At 40.4% G+C, this 20,920-nt stretch overlaps 1 protein-coding gene across 21 annotated transcripts in view; it reads left to right on the plus strand.

Annotated features, from left to right (window-relative positions):
• Positions 1-20,920, plus strand: part of SYTL5 (synaptotagmin like 5) — a 239,906-nt gene that overhangs the window by 8,375 nt on the left and 210,611 nt on the right. For 15 of the 21 annotated variants that reach the window (XM_011544001.3, XM_047442654.1, XM_047442663.1 and 12 more), the window contains exon 1: positions 8,722-8,851. The gene's annotated coding sequence lies outside the window, so the exon portion shown is untranslated. Of the gene's footprint in view, positions 1-1,559; positions 1,674-8,721; positions 9,321-20,920 lie in introns of those variants that run through there. The other 6 variants (XM_017029973.2, XM_047442659.1, XM_047442665.1 and 3 more) reach the window with 3 other exon arrangements.

The following is a 20,920-nucleotide window of genomic DNA, read 5'->3' on the forward strand; positions in this document are numbered from 1 at the left end:
CTGGCCAATATGGCGAAACCCCATCTCTACTAAAAATACAAAAATTATCCGGGCGTGGTGTCAGACACCTGTAGTCCCAGCTATTTGGAAGGCTGAGGCAGAAGAATCACTTGAATCCGGGAAGCAGAGGTTGCAGTGAGCCGAGATCATGCCACTGCACTCCAGCCTGGACAACAGAGCCAGACTCCATCTCAAAAAAAAAAAAAAATGAGGGCAGAGGGCAGAGAGTTAACAAGGGGCCAAATACATGTCTCATGTGAGAGTATGACAATTAATCAACATGGAAGTAAAAAACTGACATGAGCTGAACCGATCAGTTTCTCCCTCCTGAAACTGTGAAACTTGAGACACAGAGCCCCAGAGACTGGGAGATGTTGGAGCTGAAGTCACCTTACTGGCTGTCATAGCCTGCTCAGTCTGCTACACCATAAGTACTATAAACTGGGTAGCTTATAAACAACAGGAATTTATTGTTCACAGTTCTGGAGGCTGCAAAGTCAAGGTGCTGCCAAATTTGGTGTCTGGAGGCCGGGCACGGTGGCTCACGCCTGTAATCCTAACACTTTGGGAGGCCAAGACAGGCAGATTGCCTGAGCTCAGGAGTTTGAGACCAGCCTGGGCAAGATGGTGAAACCCCATCTCCACTAAAATACAAAAAATCAACTGTGTGTGGAGGTGGGTACCCGTAATCTCAGCTACTCAGGAGGCTGAGGCAAGAGAATTGCTTGAACCCGGGAGGCGGAGGTTGCAGTGAGCCAAGATCACGCGCCACTGCACTGCAGCCTGGACAACAAAGTGAAACTCTGTCTCAAAAAAAAAAATCTGGTCTCTGGCAAGGGCCTTCTTCCTCAGAGATAGTGCCTTCAAGTTGTGTCCTCACGTGGGGGAAGGGGCAAGGCAACTCTCTAGGGTCTCTTTTGTAAGGTACTGATCCCATTCAAGAGGGCTCCACCCTCATAGCCTAATCACCTCCCAATTGCCCCACCTCCTAATACTATCACATGGGGTATTAGGTTTCAACATATGAATGTGGGGGGACACAAACATTCAGACTTTAGCACTGCCTGAACTCAGGGGGCCATAGAATTCATACTTTGTTCTAGTTGCCAAATTTCAGGAGCTGACTTGCTTCTTGTCCTTGTCAAGGTTCGATGGTTGAACTTGTTTTTTGAGTCTGTGGAACCCTCCTGAATCATTAAAATGAATTTGTTCCAGCACTCAATCTTTTTTTCTTAAATAAAGCAAAGTTAATTTCTGTTGCTTGCAAATAAAAACGCTTAACTAATATAATTATCTTGTGATTTCTCTCTAGTTCTTTAATATAGTCCTTTTCTTCTGAAATAGATTATTAGTTTCTTAGAGACAGGAATAATTCTTTCCATTTATTTTATATCCTTCCTCTATGCAGCTATACTTATAGGACAAGATAATAACAGCTAGGCATTCATTCAATGATTATAATGTGTCAAGCACTGTGCTAAGTACTTATGTAGATTATCTTATTTAAACTTCATGAGAATTCTGTGAATAATTACTCTGATTATTTCTCTTTTTTATAGATGAGGAATCAGAAACCAGAGATGGGACATGGCTAATAAATAGTGGAGTGGAGACTCAATCCTGGGCAATCTCACCTAAGAGCCCACATTCTTTCAGGACCCAGCACTTAGTAGGTACTTAAAAATACTTGTGTATCGATATATTGAAAAGTACTAAGTATCCACAAAATCACATTCATTAAAACTTTGGTTTGCAGTAAGAATACTTGAGACAACGTAGAATTTTGAATAAGAATCTTATAACATACCAAGGAAGAAAATATAAGAAGTATTATTTGTAGAAAAATTCAATTATTCCCAGTAATAAAGAAAAAGCATTAATCTATTATACATCATTTATTATTATTAATCTTTATTATTATTGTTATTTTAGAGACGGGCCTTATTAGGTCGCCCAGGGTACAGTGCAGTGGCGCAATCATAGCTCATTGCAGCCCTGAACTCCTCAGCTCAAGCATCCTCCTGCCTCAGCCTCCTGATTAGCTGAGCTAATGAGGCTCAGGCTTGAGCTACCATGCCCAGCCTACATAAATCTTTGATATTTCTTCTAACAGCCCTAAAAGATAAGGTAGGTATTATCATGCTCACTTAACTGATTAGGAAACTTAGGCTCAGAAATTTAAGTGCTTTGTTCCAATCTGTTAACACCCAACCCTAAAGGTGCTAGATTCAGTGAGCTGAAAATGCTCACTGAAAACGCAAAATGCAAAATGCCTAATCCTTAGAACCAGACACTCCAGTCACCATTTATTTGTCCATGTCTGAGTTCACAACACATCCTCTCTCCCTATTTCATTTGCCATTTAATTATGTGCTGCCCCATGACACTGGTGTGCTACTTCATAATTATGATCGTGTTATTTTAGTGCCATGCAGCTTCATTGTAATTTTACTTGTGAGACCTTTTTTTAATATATTGGGTACCTATAAGAATGAAATATTTCCATAACAAAACAGATTTACAGTCAGCTTGTAATGGTTTAATGCCAAGATGTTATAGAACTATCTACCAATGAAGAAAGGGTTGAATTGAATCAGATAATGATTATATGGGCTTTTCAAATTTAAAAAAAACAAGCAACACTTCAGAGAGAATTTATATAATTTGCAAATATAGGTAAATATGTAAGCAAATCTTCATTATATCATATTCAGTATTTGTTCTCTTAAGCATAAGAGTTGTGCTTGTCCGTATAGAATAGGCTGAATGAAACTGAAACAAGTCTTGCTTTCTATAAGTTAATATTTGGGGATTGGTCACACACAAAGACACACACACACACACACACACACAATGGTGAGGGAGGGGCTTACCTCTTTTATTTACTGTCCCATTCATAATGCCTAGAACAGTGCCTGGTGCACAGTAGGCAAATATGCACTCAAATATTTCCTTAGTGCCTACCACAGGCCAGATAGTGTTCTAGGCATTGGGGATACAGCATTGAATAAAACAGAATTCATACTTTCATAGTTTATATTCTACAAATGGGAGACAGAAAATAAAGACATAAATGAATATGATATTTAGTATGTCAGATAGTGATAAGGACAATTGGAAAAATTAAGCAGGAATAAGGGATAAGGTGGGAGAGTTGCCATTCAAAATAAAGTAGTAAAAGAAGACCTCAGTAATACATGACTTTTGAAGGAGGCAGTCAGGAAACATTTCACCAGAAGATGACAATTAAACTGAGTCTTGAAAAACAACTAGGAGTTTTCCAGGAAGACAAGAAGGGAGAAATATATAGAAGATGAATAATTCACTTTGAATTCTAATTTGCATCTCCTTTTACATGTAGTGGCATCATTTTTAAGGCAGATGGTGTATAACTTTGCTCCAGAGTTAAGAATTCTCTTTCCTGAAAGCTCCAGGGATAATTCTGATTGGTTCTGCTTGGATCATGTGTCCATCTCTGAAACAATTACCATGGCCAGGCAGGTAGTGTATTCTTATTGGCTGGCCTGGGTCATGTGCCCACTCCTGGGATTTTGTTTTTTTGTGTGTGGAGGGGGCTTCAGAGCCCCTACTCTGTGTAATCTTCCCCAGGAGATCATCAGTTAGGGGAGGCAAAGAAAGTAACTTTTCTCTTTTTGATCTATCAGGGTTTGCAAGTTCCTTTGAAAGAAGAGAATTACAGAAGTATTGAGACTGGAAGGAGCACTTAGTGCAGGACCACAGGATGACTGACTCCTCAGCACAGCTTAGCATCCTGGTGCCAAAGTGGGTGCTTCACAAAGATTTATTGTATAAATAGAGAGGACTATCACAAACCACATGTTGACTGAATGACTCCACCATTGTCTAACCACTGATTTTGAGGGGATCCCTTGGGACTATCCCATAGATCCAAGTTCACCTTACCTTGGGAGCAGATGGAACCAGACCCCAGGTGCTCTGCCATGAATCTCCCTCAGGTGATCCGGGCATCCCAAAGATCTTACCTCATAGAAGCTGTTGTAGAAGCAATTGCAGGAAGAGGCATTGATGCAGCGTTGTCATTAAGCAAAAAGCCAGGACTGCTGACACTACCCTGCCAGCAGACAAGCCTGCAGCTGGGCCTGAGGCTCTCACAGGATGCAAGGCAAGCACAGGATTCATATGAGGGACAACTATCTAACCGGAAAACACAAAACCTCCATTAAGCCTTCGCTCTGCAGCTTTTCTCAGAGATCCTTCCTGTCTCTCCTCTACACTCCCAAACTGAAGTTCTTCTCTAAGAAGTAGGCCCATATTATTCAATCATAAGAAGGAATGAAGTTCTGATGCATGCTACAACATGGATGACCTTGAAAACATTATGCTCAGTGAAAGAAGCCACACACAAAGGCCCACATATTTTATAATTCCATTTGTGTAAAATGTCTAGAATAGGCAACAAATGAAAGAGTTGAGTATTGTGTAAGGGAAGTTTGAGATTCCTATTGCCATTCAGGTGAGGATGTTGAGCAGGTTGCTCAACAGGTTGCTTGATAAGTGTCTGGAGTTCAGGAGAAATAACCAGTCCAGAGGCATAAATTTGGGAGTCATTAGCAAATAATTGGAATTTTAAAGCATGAGACTAGATTAGACTACATGGGCCTGATAAATATTTGATAGGTAATAAACAAATATACACAATATCTTCTGCTATAACACATTATCTATAACAAATAGTATATATGTAATAGGAAATAGGGGAAGAATGTCAATACCATGTGGACGTTGGGTTGAAGTAGAATTTTAACCTTCAGCATGAAAGGAAAAATCCCTCAATTTGGCTGCTGCAGTGTCAAAAGCCCTTTTAGCTTTATTTATGTTTTAAAATTAAAAGTGAGGTTCTACACCCAGGGCTTCCTCTCCAAGGAAGTAGACCCTCAGCCTTGCATGATTCTTGCCTCAGGCAGAGTGTACTTCTTCCTGTGCGCACCTTAATAGCAGCCTTTCTGTCTTAGACTTCCACTTCCATCTGCATTGTCTCAGCTCTCTCAAGTAGAATTTCCTCTCTATTGGTTTCTTGCATGTTTAATATCTACTGAGGTGGCCTCTAGCCATAACAAGCTGTGTGTCTGAGCTGTGCACAAGTCATCACCTGATATATTATTTTAAAAAAATTGTTAATGCTCTGCTTATAAAGGTACATAAGTTTTGAGTGATCTGCCTTAACTCTTATGCCTTGTTAGTTTTAGTGTGTGATTTTGAAAAATGAGAGATTTTTCAGCCGAGTATGTCATTTTATGTCAGAAATGCTTGTATACATATAATTGACATGCTACTTTTGTTCACATCTTTCCTGGCAGGAACTGAAAGGTATTTATATTTATGTTTCTCTCCCTCCGCCAAAATAAAACAAAACAAAACAAAGAACAAAAACCCAGGAATGGGCACATGACCCAGGCCAGCCAATCAGAATATACTACCTACCTGGCCATGGTAATTGTTTCAGGGATGGACACATGATCCAAGTAGAACCAAGAATTGTCCCTGGAGTTATCAGGAAAGAGAACTCTTTTAACTCTGGAACAATGTTACACACCATCTGCCTTAATAATGATGCCATTACAAGGGAAAGGAGACTCAAATTAAAATTCATTTATGCAGCCAAAAAACACACGAAAAAATGCTCACCATCACTGGCCATCAGAGAAATGCAAATCAAAACCACAATGATACACCATCTCACATCAGTTAGAATGGCAATCATTAAAAAGTCAGGAAACAACAGGTGCTGGAGAGGATGTGGAGAAATAGGAACACTTTTACACTGTTGGTGGGACTGGAAACTAGTTCAACCATTGTGGAAGTCAGTGTGGCGATTCCTCAGGGATCTAGAACTAGAAATACCATTCGACCCCGCCATCCCATTACTGGGTATATACCCAAAGGATTATAAATCATGCTGCTATAAAGACACATGCACATGTATGTTTATTGCGGCACTATTCACAATAGCAAAGACTTGGAACCAACCCAAATGTCCAACAATGATAGACTGGATTAAGAAAATGTGGCACATATACACCATGGAATACTATGCAGCCATAAAAAATGATGAGTTCATGTCCTTTGTAGGGACATGGATGAAGCTGGAAACCATCATTCTCAGCAAACTATTGCAAGGGCAAAAAACCAAACACTGCATGTTCTCACTCATAGGTGGGAATTGAACAATGAGAACACATGGACACAGGAAGGGGAACATCACACACTGGGGCCTGTTGTGGGGTGGGGGGAGGGGGGAGGGATAGCATTAGGAGATATACCTAATGTTAAATGACGAGTTAATGGGTGCAGCACACCAACATGGCACATGTATACATATGTAACAAACCTGCACGTTGTGCACATGTACCCTAAAACTTAAAGTATAATAAAAAATAAATAAAAATAATAAAATTCAAAGTAAATTACTCATCTTGTATATATTTCTCCCTTCTTGTCTTCCTGGAAAACTCCTAATTGTTTTTCAAGACTCAGTTCAATTGCCGTCTTCTGGTAAAATGTTTCCTGACCACCTCCTGCCTCCTCCATGAAGTACTGTGAGCTTCCTTCTTATTCCCACAGCACCTTTGTACACATTTCTCTTACAGCATTGTTATGTAACTTTGCTTTATTATCTGCTCTTCCCCTTCCCCCACCCCTCAGTCTGTGGCATTCTTGATGGTAGTCACATTACCTTATCCATTTCTATAAACCTAGGACCTAACACAATGTCTAGTATGCATTAGGTGCACAGTAAATGTGAGTTGAATGAATTAATGAAGATATGGCTCTGGTAATATATGGCTGATTGCTTTGCGCAAGAAGACACATTGTCTTGGAGGCACACACGCACACACACACACACTCACTCTCTGGGGAATGTAAGATTTTTGATAGGTAAGAATTTTGATCCAATCTTAAAACAAACAAAAAAGAGGTGTGTGTGGGGTGGTCCGGGGGGGGGGGTGATATTTCCTGCAAGGTAGGGTTCGAGGAAAGGCACTTCATTAAAATTAAACTTGAAAATAGGGCATTGGGAGAGAATGCAGAGTGGGGGGGACTTTAGAAAAAGAGAACAAATAAAATTGGAAATGAAACACTGCCTTATAAAATTAGAAAATAGAGGTAGAAAAACTGAAGGCTGGTATTATTCAGGGAAGTAGGTATAGACAAGCAAGAAAAGTAAAGGTAAAGAAATGGAAAAAGATGGAAAGTAGAGGTGGGAGCCAGAGACAGGGGGAGGAAGGTCCTGGATAGTAGACTTCTGAGCTTTCAATAAAGCTTTATTTTCCACTATGTGTTAGGCCATGTGCTGGGTTATTAGTACATTGAAATGAGTAACTTATATTCCCTACGCATCCAATTATGGGGGAGATCTCAGTTTATAATGGTATAAGAAAGCAATGGGATGACAACAAAGGGCGAGTGTTAGGGGATATTGCCCACTTTTTGAAATTGGACCCCCATCCTTTACCAGAGTTGTAAGAAGTCTGACAGCTGAAATGCTGTCCTCAAGTTGAGAAAATGGCCCACCCCTTCCCTATTCTTGTTTCTTTCTCTCTGAACTCTATAATCCCTCACCCTTGCCAGGGCTAAAGGAACTCTTTTTATACATTTTCTTCCTTCCAGTTTTGATATGGTGAAGGCAGGACTGAGGGCTCATCACCCCTACCCCTCCTCCTAGCAGAACAAGTTGACCTTTACCAGAACACACCAGGTCATGAGTCAGAATTCCCATGCCATGTTTGCTGAAGCTATTAACTCTTCTAAGTCCTGGCACCCCAGGACATCTTGACCGTCCCAACGAAGCACTGCCACCAAAACCAGTTTGGGTGGAGCCTTGGCTTTTCTTACTCCATGTCAAATTAGGAAGGTGACCCCTGGCACCAGGGTCCCATCATTCCCCACAGTACTTTTCCAAGACCCAGGGGGGATATGAGAGAGGAGAGACTTGCAGCCTCCTCCACAAGGAAGGGGGCTCCTAGGAGATGAGATGGGAGTAACTTGTGCCTTGGCTGTGGTGAGCAGTAGGGGTACTCCTGGTGTAGGTACAAACTGTGGGAGGTTTGGGCATAGCCATATCCACCTTGCAGGTGGATGTGTCAGATGGGCCATGGTGTGTGTGTGTGGGGGGGGCGTGGGGGGTGACAGTTCCTGCAAGGTAGGGTCCGAGGAAAGGAAAGACCTATGGAAAAGGATACACCTGGGATCTTGAGGAGCCAGCTGCACCTGTTTCTGGGCTGAGAGGCTTCCGGAGCCACCACAAGGTGGAGACCAAGGATGGCGGGGGTGGGGTCTTTGCAGACCGGTTGTTAAGTCCTGGGGCTGGCTGTGCATCCTGAAGCCCGTTTGGCACAGCCTGCAGGAGGGACTTTGCAAAGCCGCGTCCAGGTAGTATATGAAAGGTGTGTTGAGCTCAAATGGTCAGCCCGGGGTCATGGGGTCCTGGGGTGGCGGGGAGCCGAGAAGAGGGAGATCCACGAAGGAGGCTTTCACCCCTTGGCAGCGGGCGGCTGCCTTGAGGGGCGGGCTGTGCCTGGCGCGACTCTGGCGCCGCCGCCTGGGGGCATCCGGCTGTGAGCCCCGTGGATGGGGCGCCTGGAGACCGCGTCTCTCGAGGCACTAGGTCCTGGTACTTGCTGGGGGTGGGGAGGGAGAGGGGCGCACAGCGCCGAGAGGCGGACGCCAAGCGCGTGAGTCACTCTGCTCCCCTGGGTTAGGAGCGGGACTTTGCCTCCCGCCTGGGGTCTGCATTTCAGCTCCAGCTTCAGTGACTCATCCCAGCAGGCTGACCCCCTCCTGAGGCTGGACCAGCTGCCTCTCCGTCTAGGTGAGGGCCAGGCAAGTTTCTCGTCTTCTGATGCTTACTGTTTGGGGGACTCGCGGGGAGGGGGTCTTCCAGCCTGTGTCTGTCTGCCTTTGCTTCCTCCCTCTGGCTCTCTCCATTGGAGACAGAAAGTTAGATTTAAAAAACGCAACAGAGAATATAAAATCTATGCTCAGACCCCAGATAAACAAAACTCTGGGGCCATATTCTTAATTTACCGGGTACCTTCACATGTCCGAATGCGGCGTTTATGGAGCTAGGAATGTTTTATTTGTTTCGTGTATTTCCCTCCTCTCCCCCATTTTCCTCCGGTGTAATTCTTAGAGGTGGGGACAGGAGAGCCAGAGGGCTTAGCTGGGATCCTTTGCCAGAGTGGCTTCTTCATTCTCTGCGAGGTAGCAGATGTTTTACTGTAGCCTGAGTTGGGATCTTGGAACAACCCTCTCCAGCCCAGGACATGCCAGCGCTTAAGGTAACTGCAGTTGTTGCATATCTATCTCGTTATCACTGACTGAATCGAAATGTTCCGGAGGCACAATTAATGTGAATGCCAGAATGTTGAAACAATTCATTGAAGGACACTATTGAATGTTTTATTTTCAAAGTATCGTATTCCAGGAAAATTTTAGAAGACTATTGCTGGTTTTATTTTCTCTATTTTCAGATATGCTCCAAAGCCTATTATTCCCTTGCAAGACAACCAGTGAGGACCTATTCTGTTTCTTATAAGGATTTAACAGTGCAAAACTACGTGTTAGTTTCTCCTCTAAGGTTAGGGACCTCCTTCTGTTAACCTCTTTTAGAAAAATCATTTTGGTGGTGGTGGCGGGGAGATGTTTCCCCTTTCTCTATCATTAAATGCAAAATGTTTCTGTGACTATTAAGTAAATACTAATTATTGTTATTTTTGCTTAAAAGGAGCAGAGGAGAGCATCTCCCAGAATGCATGAATTTGTGGTTCATATTGATAACTGATTGCTTTACCATCAAATTGTTTGGTTTGATGCAATGTTAACAAGTGGTCTTAATTCACAACACAGAAGTATTCTATTCCAGAAAACAACCCTGCTGATATGCCTGCCACCCCCACCCCAAAATGCACACACAAAACCATGTTTTTGTCTTGCTTTGTGGGAGAGAAAAATGGATGGGGTATCTTTTCTGGCAGTTGATTAGTCCCCGATCTTTCTTGAATTGTCATTTGTTTTATAACCTATAATTATAGAAAAGAACCCTCCTTGAAATAAAATTAATAAAACCTTACATGTTTAGTCAGATCACAGGAATAATTTTTTAGAGTTGAGTGGAAGCTTCCATGATCCTCTTCCAATGTCGTCCCCGGGGAGCCGTTAAGCTTCCCACTTCTCTGATAACATAACTCCTCTACTCTACATACCTCTATCTTAGCTCTTACCACCTTATGATTCTAGGTTTACATATCCATCTTGCTTAGAGTAATAAAATTTATTTGGAAGCAAGGGTAATGCCTTATTAATCTTTGTATCCCTGGAGCCTAGTAAAGTAAGGTCTGTTGAAAAAAAATGAATGAATAAAATAATTTGGCAGTCCAGATTAGGTTTACCATTCCTTGAAATCCACCTGTGCATTCTTTCTCTTCACTCCTAAAAGATAAGTCATTTAATTCAATGGTACTCAAAGTGTGGATCCTCAGAATACACTGTGTTCTAAATAAATGAGAGTTTTCTATATTTGAAAAAATCTATATATTGTTGTGAACTTTAATATTTAATTTTTTATTTTTTATTTTTTATTTTTTTGCTGAAAGTAACAGAAAAGCCAACTAAACATGGCTTGTAATACTACAGAAGTTTAGCTGGGCGCAGTAGCATGTGCCTGTGGTCCCAGCTACACAGGAGGCTGAGGTGGGAGGATCCCTTGAGCCCAGGATTTTAAAGCTGCAGTGAGCTATGATTGCACCACTACATTCTAGTTTGGGTGACAGGGTAAGACCCTGTCTCTAAAGAAAAAAAAAAAAAACAAAGAAAATAGAGAAGGCTGACAGTAGGTAATAACTGGAGTTGATACAGTGACCCAACAATATCAGGGTTCTGAGTCAGTGTCTTACCCTCATGGCTTCAAGATGGCTCTAACAGCTCAAGACACTCGGTCCTAATCCCATGTTCAATGACAGGAAACGGGGTGGAAAAGGTCAGAGTATTTTTCCTCATGCAACTTTCTCATCAGAGAAAAAATATCCTTCCCCAAATTTATCTAACAGAATCCTACTTTTATCTCATTGGCAATATCTGGGGCACATAGCTGCCCTTAGTGGCAAAGGAGACTGGGAAAGTATCCGTTTTTTCAGCTTCTATAGTGGAAAGGCAGCCAGGGAGAGGCAGGTAGGTGATGTATTTGGGGAACTGACCAGAAAGTCTTCTAGACTGTCAAGAAAATAAGTCTTTTTGAACCTGTGATCGTATCAATGTTCTGGCCAAGTAAAATACTAAATATTAATCAATGTAGCAAAAGCACACATTTAGAGCAGATTTCCCCTCTCCACATGGGTATATGGTATTTTAAGGGTGCCAAATCACTTTTATGGAGTGTGCTAACTTTTAGAGACTGCACCTTGCCTGTGTGTGTGTGTGTGTAATCTCATAGGGTTTCTATTAAGTATGGATCAAACCCTCAAGTTCCTGGAAAAGAGTAAATATTCAGTAAATAGTTGTCCTTTGAGTGGAGTGTTGAGTTTGGGAGCTTCAAAACTTCACAGGGACATGGGAAAGGATTTAGTGAGGAAAAAAAACTGATGAGTGGTTTGCTGCCAATGCCTTGGAAGGCTGGTTTACAGCATCTGAATGTCTTTAATTTGGATCCTAGGAGCCTGGAGGGAAACTTAACAAGAGGGAAAAGAAGAACCTAGGGAGAGGTAGTGGCACTGACAACTTGGTTCAACAGATTATCTTTGGGGACCTTCTCTATACCTGTACTGGGGAAGATGTACTACTGCCCCCCTCCCCCACACACAGTTCAAAATGGTCCCTAGCACACACACACACACTAAAACTTAAAAAGTTGAAGCATGAAAAGAGTGTATATTATTGCCCGCTTTGATTTAACTTTCTCTTTTCCAGTAGAATATTCTCTCAAATACTTACAGAAGGTAGTTTTTGGACATCATGGTGGGAGATCAGATAAGCAAGTATCGAGAGATTGAAATTTAATGATTACAATTGTCTTAGATTTCTCATCAATGAAAAGAATGGAGTAGATCAAGCTTGTCCAACCTGTGGCTTGCAGGCCACATGCAGCCCATGACAGCTTTGAATGTGGCTCAACACAAATTTGTAAACTTTCTTAAAACATTATGAGATTTTTTTTCAATTTTTTTTTTTTAGCTCATCAGCTATCATTAGTGTTAGTGTATTTTATGTGTGGCCCAAGACAATTCTTCTTCCAGTGTGGCCCAGGTAATCCAAAAGACTGGACACCCCTGGAGTAGATTAGCAGTGGTATTCAAACTTTGTTGCACATTAAAAATTACCTGGGGAGGTTTTTTTGTTTGTTTGTTTTCTGTTTTTATTTTTTTTTTTGAGATGGAGTCTCACTGTTGTTGCCCAGGCTGGAGTGCAATGGCGTGATCTCAGCTCACTGCAACCTCTGCCTCCCAGGTTCAAGCGATTCTCCTGCCCCAGCCTCCCAAGTAGCTGGGATTACAGGCACCTGCCACCACACGCGGCTGATTTTTGTATTTTTAGTAGAGACGGGGTTTCACCATGTTAGCCAGGCTGGTCTCCAATTCCTGACCTCAGGTAATCCACCCGCCTCAGCCTCCCAAAGTGCTGGGATTACAAGCCTGATTCATCATGCCTGGCTGGAGAGGTTTTTAAAATCAAGATTTATGAGCTGATCCTCAGACCACTTAAATTGGAACCTCTGGGAATGGAACCCAGGTATCAATATTTTAAAAACTCCCTAGATGACTCCAACATGTGCCTGAGTTTGGAAACTATATTAGTTTGCTAGGGCTGCCATTCAAAGGACCACAGACTGGGTGATTTAAGCAACAGAAATGTTTCTTCTCACAGTTCTGGAGGCAGGAAGTCCAAGATCAAGGGTTGGTTGATCCTGAGGCCTCTCTCCTTCACTTGCACCTGACCATCTTCCCCCTGTATCTTTACTACAGTCTTTTCTCTGTGAATGTCTGTGTCCTAATCTCTTCTTATAAGGATGCTGGTCATATATTGTGTCAGGGCCTAGTCTAAAGAGCTAATTTTAACTTGATTACCTCATCAAAGGCCTTATCTCCAAATAGTTATATTTAGAGCCCCTGAAGGCTGGGACTTCAACATGTGAATTTGGGGGAGACACAATTCAGCCCATGAAAGAAACCATTGGACAAGTACAACATTTCTCAAACTTTAATGTGCGCACCAGTCACCTGGAGGCCTTATTAAAATTTAGATTCTAATCCAATAAGTCTAGGTGGGGTCTGAGATTCTGCAGTTCTAACAAGCCCCTAGTGATTTCAATGTTACCAGTTTACAGATCATACTTGAAGTAGCATGGTTCTGTCTAGATGAGTGGTTCTCAAACTTTAATGGACATCGGAATCACCTGGAGAAATTGTTAAAAGCAGATTGTTATGATCCAGCCCCAGAATTTCTGATTCCATAGGTGTCGGGGTAGAGCCCAAGAATTTGCCTTTCTAACAAGTTCCTGGATGATGTTGATGCTGCTGGTGTAGGGATGATACATTGCAAACCATGTATCTCTGACATTTTGAGACTTTATGGTATTGGATGAGTCAGGGTCATTACATACATCATTGTATGTGAAGTTTGTAATTCTAATTGCTGATAGCATTACTTTTTTTTTTTTTTTTTGGACAGAGTCTCACTCTGTTGCCCGGGATAGAGTGCAGCGGCGCCATCTCAGCTCACTACAACCTCTGCCTCCCAGGTTCAAGTGATTCTCCTGCCTCAGCCTTCCGAGTAGCTGGGATTACAGGTGTCTGCCACCATACCCAGCTAATTTTTTAAAAAATATTTTTAGGAGAGACGAGGTTTCAGTATGTTGGCCAGGCTGGTCTTGAACTCCTGACCTCGAGTGATCTGCCTGCCTCGGCCTCCCAAAGTGCTGGGATTACAGGTGTGAGCTACTGTGCCCGGCCAGCATTACATTTTTCTTTTTGCCAAGCATAATTACTTTTTCTGTTAATAGGACGAAGGATGAGAAAGTGGGAGAAAATGCTGTATTGGGATTTCTTTTAATCTCATACAAATAGAAGTGAATAAATACAGAGGCTACACATCAGCCCATTAGTCTCTATTCATGTTTGTTCTCCAATCATAGAGCTATTTTGCAGCTTGCTCTTCTAGAAGCTCAAAGCTGATTTTATGAGATTGGTTGCATACTTCTCATATGCGATTTTTAAAGGATTAACCATTCTAGAGATTTCATGGGGCATTGCAAATTTCCCCCCTAAAACATTAATTTTAAATTATTTCTAATTTAATCACACAATTGTTTCTACACGAGACCAACAGTGAGCTACATCAAAGAGTATCCCCTCCCCAAAATTATTGGATATGAAGAAAATATTTTACCTGACTTCATAGAATTAAATCGGTAAAATTCACATTTTGTTACTGTTATTAGAAAATTTGATATATATATATGTGCTATATATAGGTGATATATATACACACACATACATATACGTACATGTATATTGTATACACACAGGTTATGATTTTCTATTTGCTTAATTTAAAGCATTTTATGTTATTTTAAATTGTTCTTAAAGCTCTATTTATATCTCCATATGAAACAGTGAAAATATTTCTATTTTAAACTTAAAAAGGTATTCAACTTGTAATCCAATAAGTATTTTAAACAAAGATGTAATCAGGTTTCTAGCTGCCCCATTTACTCTGGGCCTATTATCTAAAGAATGGGTCTTGCTAAAGTATTTCCCTTACAACTTTTCCAAAGTTATGCCAGATGTATAGGGCTTCTATTAAGAATAGATTTACTATGCCATAACTGTTTTGAGTTTACCCTCATAGCTTTCCCACATGTTCCACATTCTTGGTGAATTTTTCCAGTAATGCACCTCCCAGCACTGTCAATGGGAAGAGGTTACCTGTCATGTTTCTAGCCTGAGCTTCTGACCACCAGATAACAGAAGCCCAATTGTGGAGATGGATACAACAAGCCCAATGCCGTTAAAGATCTGAACTGTATAATTAATTCTGTTTCTCCTGACTTCATGCTCAGCAGTCAGCCTTAGGATGCCACATGTTCATTGCCTTCAGGGTGAGAATAACCTGGTCAGAGTGTCTGGTCTCCCTGACAGTTATATCTCCCATTGTAAATTACTAAGCCGCCACTCTAGCTTTAAACACTTATGAGTGTTGTGGGTGTGAGTCAGCACCCAACACCCTCAAACCTAATAAATACAGGGACACTGATAAAGATCAGTTATCTGGGGGTTGGCTCAAAGCTAGGCCCTGATGCTGATGACTCATCGAAGTGAATTAATACCAGCTAGCATTTATTAAGTATTTTCTGCATACCAGCCACTGTGCAATTTTATTTATATTATCTTATTTTTCCTCATAACAACTTTGTGAGGTAGTCATGTTAATTTCCATTTTACAAATAAGAAGACTGATATATGTATATTAAAAACCTGCTCTAAATCAAATGACTATTGTGGCAGGGACTTTGAGTTGCCATGCAATATCTATTCCCACCTTCTCCCTTAGTGGCAGAATACCAGTTTTATTACTGGTAATGATGTATCTAGCAAATAGTTTCTATTTCCTGGCATCCCTTGTATCAAGGTGTGAACCTATGACTGAGTTCCACCAGTGAGAGGTAATTGTGTTGTGTGGTACTTCTAGGAAGCCTGCTTAAAGGGATTTGACTTGGCTGGGAGGAGGGCCCTTTTGTACCTCCCCCTTCTTCCTCCTGCTGTTAGTCTTGAATGCAGGCATGATGCCTGGAGCCATCTTGGACCATGGAGTGACTGACTGGATGTAAGCTAGCATTAAAGATGCTGGAACAGAAAGGTAGAAGAAATCTGGGCCTGTGGTGGCACCATGGAGCTACTGTGCCAGCTCTACCACAGAGATCTTTGTCTGCTATTGAAACCAATTGGCATTCTGTCAGCAGAGATGAAAGGTAGAGTTGGCTATTGGTAGGCAGTGGACAGTGTTTTCATGCTATATACCAAGTACCTAATATTTGATCTGTGATAGATACATGTGTTTGAGTTTCATCTCTGCCACTTACTAGCTATGTCTATTGGACATCTTTTGTGCCTCACTGCACAGCCTTATAGCCTACCATTTAATTAAGCCGTTAGTCCATTAACCAGCTTTATGTGGGTAAAACCAGAGAGTGCCTTGCCTTAGCCTCACAGCAAATATCTCACTTCTCACTCCAGGACTTCTTTGATGTTTCAACAGGAAGGCCTGTTGGAACACTCTTGTACCCACACATGTGTGTTATGGAATGTGAGGGAGTTAAAGGCCCAAGAGCCAACCCTTGACCAATGTGAGATGGGAACCTAAGATAAATAGTCCCTCCTCCATCCTTGGCCTGATAATTCTCAATTGCCTTTTAATAGTGTTTGTTTCCAAGAGATTCTCAGAGGGTCTAACTAAGTAGGATTACGCCCTAGTTGTTTACAGTTGTGACCAACTCAAAAATACACTCCCGTATTGGTTTTCTCTCTTCTTTTCCTTTCCTGAATTTCCTACTTCTATTCCCTAGTATCACTTCCCCAAACAAACTACCTACATTGAAACTCTTGTTTCAGCCTCTGTATAACCTTCTGTGTAACCTTGAAGTAAGCTATGCTGACAAAACTTTTTAGCACTTGCTGACATTTTTATGTCCCTTCTATGATGAGGCAAAATACTATCTTTGGTGTACAAAGATGAAAATACATCATGAGATCTGATAATTCCAACTATTGTATGAATGTGGATCAATAGGAACTCATACTTTATTGATAGGAGTACAAATTGGTACCATTCTGGAAAAGAAAATTTAGTACTGTCTTGTGAAGTTGAACATTTTGCATACCCTATGACCTAGCAACTTTATTTCTAGGTATATCACCTAGACAAATACTCCTACATGTGAAGCAGGAACTCTCCTTAGGAATGGCCATAGCAACATGGTTCATAATACAAAAATTCTGAAATAATCTAATTGTCCATTGATGGAAAAATGATAAATAAATTTGGTATTAATTATTATTTCAACAGAGTAAAAATGAATTAACCATTTCTCTATGCAAGAACACAGATGCATATTATTAACAAAATCACCAAAAACTTCATGCAGTTGGGTATCATTTTTATAAAGCCCAAAAAAAAGCAATACTACACAACACATTCTTAGGAATCATACACACATGATAGATCCTAAAACAAGGTGAACCCAAAATTCAGAATAGTACTGGGGAGACAGAGATGGGATAAGGTAGGAGCAGATAGTAGAGGTACGAACATTGATGATGTTCTGGGTCTTGAATGCGGTGATGGGTTCATAAAGGCTCATTTAGTATTACTCTTTATAACTTATTTAAATTGATACAGATTCTTTTATATACATCAGATTTTATGTAATAATTTAAAGAAATGAAACCATCACCAACAAAGATGCTGTACTAACAAAGGACAGCCTCAGTGAAAAGCCTCCTCTAGCCCTCACTCTAAACTAATGGCTCTCAGAGTCAATGTTTCTCATCATGTAATGTGTTTTTTTCTTTTGTGTTGTTAAGTATATTGTAATCAACTAGAATGGCAGGGTACAAGATTCCGTTTTTCTTACGGCCCTTCAGGGTCACATCCTCTAGTATATTTAGAAAAACACAGTTTGTTGTGTCCTCTCTGCGCCTGTGTCCATTTGCCTGTGATTCTTCTATATGTCCTGAAGCTGCCCATTGCTCTTTGCTGTGCACAATCCACCTCTTATTTTACTGCTGTCTCAGCACAGCACACAGGGGCTACGTTCCTCCTTGTTTCGTGTGTGTGTGTGCGCGCGCATGCACGTGCACAGGCGTGTGTTGGGTAAAATGGTAGTGAGTAGGGAGGCAGTTGACATGACCTTTTTCTTTATACTTCCAAACCTACTCCTTGCTTTCCTTAACAATGCCACCAAACAAAGCAGTAAAACTGTACCAGATTTTTGAATTTTGGGCCAGGATTTGTAATCTTTAAATCATTTGTGCCCTGGAACCTTTGATGAAGTCGGTGACCTCCTTATCAGAATGGTGGCTTAAATACATAAACTCAAACTCACTGGATTACAAAGGAAGCAAATTGTATTGAAATACGGTTATCAGAAATTAAAAGCAATTGTGTGGTATAGTACTCTATGTACTTTTTAATTAAGTTATTAAGCAACAAGATCTAACGGTGGATCTAATGACCTAAATTTTAAAGTAGTAATGATTTTGAAACATATTACATGATATCTACAATAACTGTAATATGATATGAAAAATATCTGTTTCTTTAGTGACAGTCACGGGTACTGCTAATACTACTGTGGTTTGTTGCTTACATTCATACTTGCAGGAAATATTAAATGTCAGATAAAGATTAGTGAACATAAGGATGTCATTTTTTTTTCCCATCCAAGTTCATGGACTCTTTAAATTCTACTGATATATTCTTGGGGGTTCGTGGACCCCAGATTGAGAAACTTGCTCTAAGCAAAGCAAAGGAAACTACAACAGATGTGGGAAATAATTTTAAACTGAATACCAAATATTACCTAACCCACAGCCTACAGAGAAAGCAGTTACCTCTAACCTTTCATGGAGGGTAGGAGAGCCGTCTCAGTTTCCATTCTTACCTCACAGATCTTTTTTTTTAAATAATAATAATAGCTACCATTTATTGAGCACCTACTCTACTGTGTGCCATAAGAGGACTTTACTTTTCAATTTTCTGCAGACAAGTCTCCATACTTCCGTTAGGAACTCCTGCCTCCTTCTCAAAGGATCTGATCTTGCTCTTGGATTCATCAGTCTTCCTTCTCCACTAAGAGTTGCCCACTTTAGAATAACTCCCTAATGGCTCCCACACAACAGCATAAGGTGGGCTTTGGCAAGCTGAGTCTTGTTTCATTTAAGACCTTTACACTGCAGTGAGCTGTAATGAGCGGAGCCCACGCACCCCTCCTAACCTTCCACTAAAACACTTACTTTCAGGGATAGCACAATCTTAATACATAAGGAAAAAGAAGCATTTTCCTGACTTCTCCATAAATTAAAAGACTGCTTAAGCATACAGGAAAGCTAGTACTGTACACTTATTATGCAGATCAGGTATAGTTATTTATTCATACCATAGCTGCTTTCAAATGGGCTCACTACTGAGCTATATAGATCTTGTGATGGCTGTTTTCTGAGCTACACAAACACCTGGCTCCAAGTTTGAAGTTTCTGTTTGTATGAGTCTGATTAGGTGTTTAGATAGTGCTACTTGTATCTTCTACAATACCTACTGGTTGAATGACTGATTGATTTTAATTATTTTTTCAGAATTAGTAATGGATTTTTAATAAACTTTATTTTTAGAACAGTTTTGGTTTGCAGAAAAATTTTGAAGATAGTAGAGAGTTACGTATACCTATATCCAGTTTACCCTATTAAAATCTTACATCAGTATGGCACATTTGCTACAGCTGATGAAGCAATATTGATACATCATCATTAACTAAGGCTCATGTTTTATTCAGATTTTCGGAATTTTTACCTAATGTCCTTATTCTGTTCCAGGATCCCACGCAGTCTTCATGTCTCCTTAGGCTCCTTTTGGCTGTAACATTTTTTCAGATTTTCTTTGTTTATGATGATCTTGTCAGTTTTAAAGAGTACTGGTTGGACATTTCGTAGAAAGTCCATAACTGGGATTTGTCTGATATTTTTTACTGATTAGACTGGGGTTCTGTATTTTTGGGAGGAGTGCCATTCTCATAACATCATATAAAGGGTATATACTATCAACATAACTTATCATTGTTGATGTTGACCTTGATCACCTGGCTGAAGTAGTGACTGTCAGATTTCTCCACCATAAAGTCACATTTTTTTCTCCCTTTCCATACTGCATGCCCATATTTAAGGAATCAGGAATTATGTTCCACCTCCTTGAAGGTATTTACAAAAATTATTTAGAATTTTTCTGCCCTTTAAGATTTGTCTCTTCCTTCCTTCATTTATGTGTTTATTTATTCAATAATTTATTTGTATTTGTATGGATTCATGGTAATGAATTTTTAGCTAAACAGCTCCAATCTTATTTTTGGCCAGTGGCATGAATTTCTGTCACAAACTATGGCTAGCCCTATAGTTCCTAAGCACAGAAAAGAGTAAAACCAATAGCTACATACAGAATTTGTTTCACTATTGGTCTATTCATCTATCTCTTTCCATTTCCTTATCTAATTTTTTGTCTAATTTTTCACCAAAAGAATAATTCAGTAACATTAAAAAATTCAAACATAAAAGAGCACACAGTGAAAATTGCTTTCCACCTTTTCATGTTTTTATATCCCTCTTCAGCGGCAACTCCTGTTAACTGTTACTGATGTTTTTTTCAGACGTTTTCAATGCATTTATTAGCAAATAGCTATCATTCTGCTTCTTTATACTCTAAGGAAAAAGGCCAGGAAAGGGACAGCAGGGCAACAAAAGGAAATAAGAAAGGGGAGGGCAGGAGCAAACCAAAGATTATGAGGTTAATCATAGAATTCTTAATTCAGTTACTACATTTGCTTGGCAAACAATTCACTTTTCCAAGATTTTTTTCTGGTGTAGTTTTCCCACTATTGTGAGTTTCAACCCCTGATGATCAAGCAGTGTGGGTATATTACTTAAGTTTTTTAGTTGAAAACAAGTAAATCCCCTCTGCCCAGTTTAAGCAGAAGAGTTTATTTGAAGGTATTAGGTGGTATGATTTTTATGGCCCCAATTGTCTCCATCCCTAATCTTGTCTTTTGGACATGTGACTTTGTAGTTTCTCTCACTAAGGATAATATCTATATGTCCCTTGATTCTGAGGTTGACTATGTGACTTG

The sequence above is a fragment of the Homo sapiens genome, chromosome X (assembly GCF_000001405.40).
Source record: "Homo sapiens chromosome X, GRCh38.p14 Primary Assembly".
Taxonomy (NCBI): domain Eukaryota; kingdom Metazoa; phylum Chordata; class Mammalia; order Primates; family Hominidae; genus Homo; species Homo sapiens.